This window comes from Homo sapiens, chromosome X (genome assembly GCF_000001405.40).
Source record: "Homo sapiens chromosome X, GRCh38.p14 Primary Assembly".
Lineage (NCBI taxonomy): Eukaryota > Metazoa > Chordata > Mammalia > Primates > Hominidae > Homo > Homo sapiens.
In genome coordinates, this window is record NC_000023.11 from 134024920 (window position 1) to 134034134 (window position 9215).

Consider the following 9215-nt stretch of genomic DNA (forward strand, 5'->3'; position numbering starts at 1 on the left):
TCCTTCTAGATCTGGACTGCTCTCCATTAGAGCAGCCAGAACCAAAGATAGGCAGAAGCAAAAAAAAAGAAATAATTGCAACATACTCTATATATACCACTCTAGAGATTCAGTAATAATAACTCCCATTTATCAAACACTGTACTGACCCTTTATATCATCTCATATAATGTTCTTAACAATTCCATGGGGTATTATGATTATTATTTTCATTTTATAAATAAGGAAAGTGAGCCACAGAGAGGTTGAGCAATCACCCACAGTCATGTGACTAGTAAATGTTAGAGCCAGGATTTAAAAGTCTGTTCTGAATACAGAGGTGAAGCCTATATTGGTACAGTATACATGCCTCCCATTATTTAACAATTATTCACTTATATTTATTTCTCTCCCACTGTTCTATGAACTCCCTTTGGGTTTGTGCCACCAGCACCTAGCATAATGCTTGGCACATTGATTCATTCATCCCTTCAAAACAGATTTATCGAATGTATACCATGTGCTAACCACTGGTTATGAGCACCTGGGCATACAGGAGTGAACAAGGCAGTAAGATTCCCTGGCCTAGTAAAGCTTACAACCAGGTGAAAGAGACAGACAAGGCTGGGTGCAGTGGCTCGTGCCTGTAATCCTAACACTTCGGGAGGCGGAGATGGGGTGATTGCTTGCAGTCAGGAGTTCCAGATCAGCCTTGGGAACATGGTGAAACCCTGTCTCTACAAAAAGTACAAAAATTAGCCAGGTGTGGTGGCTCACACCTGTGGTCTCAACTACTTGGGAGGCTGAGGTAGGAGGATTGCTTGAGTCTGGGAGTTAAAGACTGTGGTGAGCCATGATTGTGGCACTGCACTCCAGCCTGGGTAACAGAGCAAGACCTGGTCGCTAAAAAAAGAGAGAGAAGAAAACAAATAAGAATTTCTATGAAGAAAATAAAGCAAAAAAAAATGGGATTAAGAGTAGCTTGGGGTTGGGGGCAGTGCTTTGTTAGGCTAAGGTGCTCAGGGGAAGGCTTCTGCAAGTAGGTGACAATTCATTTGAGCTGAGACCTAAACGATGAGAAACAGCCAACCATGAGAAAGCCAGAGGAAGCATGTTTCAGGCAGAGGTACTAGAAAGTACAAAAGTGGGAAAGGGTTTGGCAGGCTTAAGGATCAAAAAGAAGGCGAATGTGGGTGGGGCATAGGAAGTGAAGGGGCCTATTAGAGGTGTCAGATCTTATAGGGCCTTGTAGGCCATAGGCACCACCTATTATACTTACACCTAAAACTGGGACTGCTGCCCCCTACTGATTCGTAACAAGAGCCAGGGTGGGAGAAATACGTTTTTGAAGGGGGAGACTCAGAAGCAGGATGCCTGAGCTTTGGGAAGAAAAGCATGGGCCTTCCTTGCACCTGCTTCCTCTTCCCCCTGGGAATCCCTTCCTTTGTAGGTTACTCCCATTTTTTTTTTTTACCCTTCTTCTTCCTCCTCCTCCTCCTTCTCGTCCTCTTCTTTCTTTTCTTCCTCCCCGACCCCCACATCTCTAAAACAATTTAAGCTCACAAGCCATTTCCCATCAACTCCTCCTGGGACCATGAGACAGCCAATCTATGCCTTAAGCCTCTAATGCCAAAACTTTTGAGTCAGATAAGAGGAGGGAGCCGTGGTGATAGTGGCAGCAGCCATGTCGTCGCAGCTTGAGCTCAAGCTCAAAGTCTTCTTCTGTCCGACCCCTGAAGGGAGTCAGGCGATTTTGGCTTAGCTAATACAGCAGTCTGAAGAGCTGAGCTACCTAACTACTGTGACGAACAGAAAGGAAAACAAGCCTCAGAAAAAGCCAACACCAGAGAACAAGAATTACAAGCACGCATCGGCACCCACAGCAGACAGGCTGGGTGGAGGACTCCCAACTTAACATACGCACAGGTTTCGGAGCACAGCAGAATACCTTTGACTCTCCGGAAAGCTAGTTGCAACACTTCTTACTCCCTACTGCCCCACTGTGGAGAAATGCTTTGGGAAAACGCGACTTATTGTGGAGGAGCATTCACTGCCATACTCTTTTGACTTTGGACTCCTGGCAGTCTTCATTCCCTTATTCCTCCAGCATCTATCAAGCTCAGAGAAAGAGGCTTTTGACACACATACAACGACGTGGTCTTTACCTCTCCTTATTAAAATTTGAGGCCAATAAAATAAAAACATTGAGCTTAACCTTTTCCAAAAATGGTAAAAAGTTGCGCAGGAAAATAGGAGGAAGGAAATAATAAAGATAAAAGCAAAAATAAATAAATTAGAGGTTGTAAAAACAGTTGAATTAATAAATAAATTCAAGAGCTTGCTGCTTGAAAGGGCTAATAAAGTAGATAAAACTCTGGCAAATCTATGTAAGAAAAACACATACATAAAATTAGAAATGAGAAAGGGGATATAACAACCAGTATAAACAATATTTTTTAATTGTAAGAAAATGCTATGCACAATTGTATGCTAATACATTTTAAAAATATAGTGCAATAGATCCTTTTTGTCTACAAAAATATAAAATACTAAAATTCATACCACAACAAGTAGAAAAGCTGAATAAATTAATAACTGAAGAATAAATTCAGAAACTGTCACACAAAGTTCCTAAACCTAATGGTAAGTAATTTTAAACCTTCAAAGGAGAAAGCAGAAAAAGCATGTGCCTTTCACCCCACGAAACAAATATGGTCCTGATCCCAAAACGTGATAAACATAAAATAAAACATGAACACCGGAGACCAAATGTAAACTATATTATAGTTGATAGGTCCAAAAACTTTAGCCCCAATACAAGCAAACAGTTCAGCAAAGCTTGAAGGGAGCAAAACATCACAATCATAAAGAATTAATCCTCGGAAAGCAACAGTGGTTCAGCCTAAAGCAGTCTACTAGTATAATGTTAACCATAGGTTAAATCAGTTCTTCTCAACATTTTTGTGGCATACATAGAAAATGAGACTGGGTGCGGTGGCACACGCCTGCAATCCCCAGCAATTTGGGAGGCCGAGACGGGCAGATGGCTTGAGTCCAGGTGTTTGATACCTGCCTGGGCGACATGGTGAAACCCTGTCTATGCAAAAAATACGCAAATTAGCCGGGAGTAGCGGCTTGTGCCCATAGTCCTAGCTACTCAGGGGGACTAAGGTGGGAGGATCACTTAAGCCCAGGACGTCGAGGCTGCAGTGAGCCTCGACTCTGCCATTGCACTCCAGCCTGGGAGACAGACTGAGATCCTGCCTCAAGAGAAAAAAAAAAAAGAAAGAAAATAAAAATATTTGTAAGGGCCACTGAGGTATGCAAACGAGGCTGTTCTTAGCTGGAGGTGGAGAGAAGGGTTTCTGGCTGTCCCAAGCCCACTGGCCACCCTAATAGTTGAGGGGATGGATATATTGGCAGATCTATAACCAGGTATGCTATTCACAGTGTTTACCAAGTGGCAAAGCACAGGGATGGACCAATTAGAAAAGACGCTGGGCAGCAGCATTACATCAGGGTCCTGATGGTCTCTTGCTGTGCCAGGTGTTATCGCTTTAGTTGGTGGATTCTGGGAGTGTGTCCCAGGGAATAGCTGGGTCAGTGAGAGGGTACTCAGTGTGCTCAGGGCAATAGTGATTTACTATGGAAGTGTTTCAATATTTTAAGGGTCTAGCTGTCCTGGTGTGTACCTGCTGAATATCAGCATTGCCTGCAACTCCGACTCAATCTGTCATTGGCATCAGTTAGGAAGCTCTGAGTTAAACTGCATTCTGTCTGTTTTAGCATCTGCCATGCTGTATTGTCATGGTTGCCATCTTGTCCTTATTTTGACTAGCCTGTGACACTATTCATCCTCTTCTCTCCAGCACTCTCACACAGTATCTGACGCATTGTAGAAGCTTAATAAGTGTTTGCCCGATGTATCAAGAATCATTTCCAAGAGATATCCAAAAGAGCATATGATAACATTGAAAACACATTCTGTAAAATTAGGAATGGAAGGATAAGCATGATAAGGATATCCATGAAAATAATAAGGATAACATGATTAAGAACATTGATTTAAAACACAAGGCAAAATTATATGTAACTAAAGAAATATTAATGACCAGTCTTGGTGGCTCACACCTAGCATTTTGGGATGCCAAGGTAGGAGGATCACTTGAACTCAGGAGTTCAAGACCAGCATGGGCAACATTGTGAAACCTCATCTCTCAAAAAAAAAAAATAGCTGGGCATGGCGGTGCATGCTTGAAGTCCCAGCTACTCAGGAGGCTGAGGTGGGAGGATCGCCTGAGCCCAGGTCAAGGCTGCAGTGAGCCATGTTCCCACCATTGCACTCCAGCTTGGGCAACAGAGTGAGACCCTGTATCAAAAAAGGAAGGAAAGAAAGAAAGAGAAAGAGAGAGAAAGAGAAAGAAAGAAAGAAAGGCCGGGTGTGGTGGCTCATGCCTGTAATCCCAGCACTTTGGGAGGCCGAGGCAGGCAGATCACGAGGTCAGGAGTTCAAGACCAGCCTGACCAACATAGTGAAACCCCGTCTTTACTAAAAATACAAAAATTAGCCGGGCCTGGTGGTGTGCATCTGTAACCCCAGCTACTCAGGAGACTGAGGCAGGAGAATCGCTTGAACCCGGGAAGTAGAGGTTGCAGTGAGCCGAGATTGCACCACTGCACTCCAGAGTGAGACTCCATCTCAAACAAAAAAAAAAAGAAAGAAAGAAAGAAAGAAAAACATCTCTTTCTTTAAAAAAGGAAGCAAAATAGACATCTTCTATCATTTTTAATATCATTTTGAACTTCTGGTCAATTCAATAAGATATGAAAAAGAAATAAGATATAAGTATTAAATAAATTGCCATAGAAAATATAAAAAAATTTAAGAATGAATGTTTCAAGAGAGGTATATTATCCATATAAAGAAAACTACAAAACTGTTGGAAGATGTTAACAAAAAGCCTCCACTCTCACCCATATATGTGTGTTTTGATAACTATTGATATAGTGTGTGATTTTCTGAAATCCTTGTCAAATTATAACTGTAGGGAAAGGCCACACTCATGTGGATGAAGCATGGATGGAGTCTCCCTGGAAAACAGTAATTATTCCAGATTATCAATCATTTGAGCAAAAAAGACAGGTTCTTAAGTTGGCAAGAAATGAATTGCTTGTCTTTCTCTAAGTCTAGCTATCTTGGATTCAGACATTGGGGGATTCGTAAATTCTCACCTTATGCTCCTGGGTGGTGGTGGGTTGCTAAGATGATATCCACCTGATGGAAATAGGTAGAGACCTAGATGAGATGGGGTTCTGAAAAGCAAGCCTTATGTTATAAAGGACAGTTACCTGGTTTCATATTTTTCTCTGTGTTTATTTATTTACTGTTATTCCCTAGTCTCTAGAACAATATTGTCCAATGTTTCAGCCTTACCTCAACTATACTAAAAGGTACTCAGGAAAGGTTACTGTGTCTACATTTAGGCCAAAGTGCTGAATGGAAGGTGGGACCTCTTTCTTCACTGGTAGGCATAAGTGGGGTTGTCAGTAACTATTGATAATTGAGTGCCTGAGCCAGGTACAGCACTGCTTTACACACATTATCTCATTCAACCCTCTCAACAACCTGGTGAGGTAGGCAATTTTATTTCTCACCCCCACTTATAAGTGAGAAACTTGAAGCTAAAAGAGGTGTACTGGTTTATCCCACATTACACAGCAAGGAAAATGGCAGAAGTTGAATAGAAATGCAGCTCTGTCCAACTCCAAACCCCATGCTCTTAACCACTAGCTATTCCAAGAGACCCCAGGGGGAGAAAATTCTAGGGTACAGGAGTTAAGGGTTCTAGATTTAATTTACTTACCAAAGGTAGAAGTTTTATTTTCAGGAGATATAAAAGATACATTCAATAAATAAAATTCATGCCATGTTCATAGATGGAATGCTAAATATTAAAGATATCCATTTTCCTTGAGTCAACTTATCATTTTTTCAGCACCATCTCCCAGGGTAAAAATAACTCCAGAGATGCAGAAAATCTAGGTTTCTTATGAAAAGAAAATTCTTAGGTAATTATTATTATTATTATACTTTAAGTTCTGGGGTACATGTGCAGAACATGCAGTTTTGTTACATAGGTATACATGTGCCATGGTGGTTTGCTGCACCCACCAACCCATCATCTACATTACATATTTCTTCTAATGCTATCCCTCCCCTAGCCCCCAACCCCTTGACAGATCCCAGTGTGTGATGTTCCCCTCCCTATGTCCATGTGTTCTCATTGTTTAACTCCCACTTATGAGTATGAACATGTAGTGTTTGGTTTCCTGTTCTTGTGATAGTTTGCTGAGAGTGATGGTTTCCAGCTTCATCCATGTCCTTGCAAAGGATATGAAGTCATCCTTTTTTATGGCTGCATAGTATTCCATGGTGTATATGTGCCACATTTTCTTTATCCAGTCTATTATTATTAATATTATTATTTTACTTGGCACTCTTAAAAGGGACACTTCAAAGTACAGTGGGGATGCTGTCTTCTCTAAACTCTGCCCAAAACATAGACAGTTGCAAAGCTCTAGTTTCTCCCCTGATAACTTCCTGCCAGAGCTCATCAGAATATAGCAAGATCCCTGTACTTGGCTCAGTTAGGCCCTGTCACTCATATCTCAGCTCTCTTCTCCTTAAGAGACAAGAATGTAGTCCAAAGGCCTTGGTAAGTTTTGATTCTGCTTTCTCCATCTTTTCTCAAGGCTTTCTCTTCTCAGGATGAATTTTCTCCTTTTTCTAATCACTTTTAATATTCCTACCTTTTTTATTTGCTTTATAAGCCTGTCATTTTTTGCTGATGGAGGTCACTGAAACTGACTAAATCACCCCAAGACAGTCATTACCCCCGTACACACTGGGCTTCTGCGAGATTGGAGGGGGTTCACAAATAAAATACAGAGCATTAAAAGCATGGGCTAGCCGAGTGATCATGGATTTAGTCCTGGAATTGGCTCAGGAATATATAGATTCAACCATTCTCCACTGGATAACTTGAAAAAAAAGCAAAATTAGCCCTCACTCATGGAGGAACCCCAAACAGTTTAAAGCACCTCATATTACAAAATAAATCCACATACACTAAACAGGGAATAATAAGAACTACAACAAAAGAAAAATTTTAGCCTTGGGATGATGTCAAAATCCTGCTTTAGCTCTTTTTACATGGCTTCTAAAAGACTGTGTAATGTAATGGTTAAGAGCATGGACTTGAGTCCGGGCTCTGCCACTTAACTAACTGGGTAACTGGAAAAATTACTTCACTATACCTTGGCTTTCTTATTTGTAAAATCGGGTAATAATAGTAACTATATCATAGAGTTGCTGTGAAGATTAAATAAGATAATATGTATAAGATGGTGGATACACTGTTAACAATGATTGCTTGTCAAACCCAGCCTCCCCTATCAGAAACCCTATGGTTGCTTCTTCTTTCATGCTTTCCTGCACTGATTCAATTGCTTGTCCTTTTGTCATAGGCAGCTTCACTGCTGATTCCCTCCCTCCTTTCCTTCTTTTTTGACTCTTCTTATAGCCTCTTTAAACTTCCCCTCCCTGCAAAATGCCCTTTCACAAGCTGCTGTTAAAGCACCAGTGTTGTCTCAGTGCTTTTCCCCATCCCAAGATCCAAGATTGCTTTCTCTTCCAGGAGCTCCAGCCTTATTAATGAAAAATAGCCAAATCCAGGGCACAGGGAGTGTGCTGCAGAGATTTTCAGATGTAAAATAACAGCTGTTCTACCACAACTGTTGTTTTTGAGAAATTCAAACTGTTCAGACTAGACTCATGCCAAAAGGAATTCTTTCAGACCACTGAATATGCCCTAATTAATTTCTAGACTAGGTCTAACTTCATCAGTGATCTGGGGGTTTAGGAAATCTTCATTTATCTTACTTTGTACTTCTTTGCTGTCTTCTCCCAACCTTCCTATGTCCTCATACCAGCTATCACTACATAAGGATGCCATCTGTTCTTCAAATCCCTTCCATAAAGACTTCTAATATTTACCTTCAGATTTTGTCCTTTGTTTTCAACTACTCCCAAGTCTCTAAGCAGTTAAAAATAGCCAATAAAGACTTTCAGACTAAAGGACTAAATCAATATCAAAAACAGTTAGGGAAAATATATATCAAGCAGTTCAGGTTAAACAAGTTCCATAAACTTAATACAACCTTCACAATATTGCCTAGGTCAATGAGCATGAGATCACAAACTCTTCTAAGGCCAAACAAGAAACCCATTCCTCTCAAAATAGATTCATGGGTACAGCTACAATACAGGTACAGGGGCTGCATATTTCAATGACACTTCTATGTTCACATTACATTCTGAATACTACCCAATATCATTACAAGTCATTCCCAGCCATCACTGGCAAAACTTCAGAATCAGATCCAAATAAAACAAGCAGAAAGCACACTAAATTATGGACAAGCAATCCTCTAGCATTTTCCAGTAAAATCTGCTGCATCCTGTGAAGATGATTAGACTATGAGTTTCAAGATAGCAAGGATTTTTGTCTGTTTTGTTCACTGTTGTGCTCCTAGGACCTAGCACCCATAGGAGGCATTCAACAAATATTTGTTGAGTGAAAGAATGACAGCCTCCTCAATTTTACACTCTGGGGTGCTGTATCTTCCCCTGCCACTAACTACCACAGAAATTAAAATAAAATATTCTTTCTGGCCGGGCGCGGTGGCTCACACCTGTAATCCCAGCACTTTGGGAGGCCGAAGTGGGCAGATCACCTGAGGTCAGGAGTCCAAGACCATCCTGGTCAACGTGTTGAAACCTTGTCTTTACTAAAAATACAAAAAAATTAGCCAGGTGTGGTGACAGGCGCCAGTAATCCCAGCTACTTGGGAGGCTGAGGCAAGAGAATTGCTTAAACCCGGGAGACGGAGGTTTCAGTGAGCCGAGATCGCACCATTGCATTCTAGCCTGGGCAACAAGAGTGAAACTCCATCTCAAAAAAAATGAAAAATAAAAATAAAAATTGAGAATTGGTCTGGGCACAGTGGCTTATGCCTGTAATCCCAGCACTTTGGGAGGCAGAGGTGGGCTGACCACCTGAGGTCATGAGTTTGAGACCAGCCTGGCCAACATGGTGAAAGCCTGTCTCTACTAAAAATACAAAAATTAGCCAGGCACGGTGGCACATACCGATAGTCCCAGCTACTTAGGAGGC

The 9215-nt window shown here is 41.3% G+C and overlaps 1 annotated feature.

Annotated features, from left to right (window-relative positions):
* Positions 1827-2040: a silencer, noted in NCBI's record as "fragment chrX:133160773-133160986 (GRCh37/hg19 assembly coordinates)". NCBI's record gives its function as "represses an EF-1alpha promoter that drives an FKBP-Casp9 reporter gene in an ReSE screen in HepG2 liver carcinoma cells {active_cell/tissue: HepG2}" and the evidence as "EXISTENCE:reporter gene assay evidence [ECO:0000049][PMID:32094911]".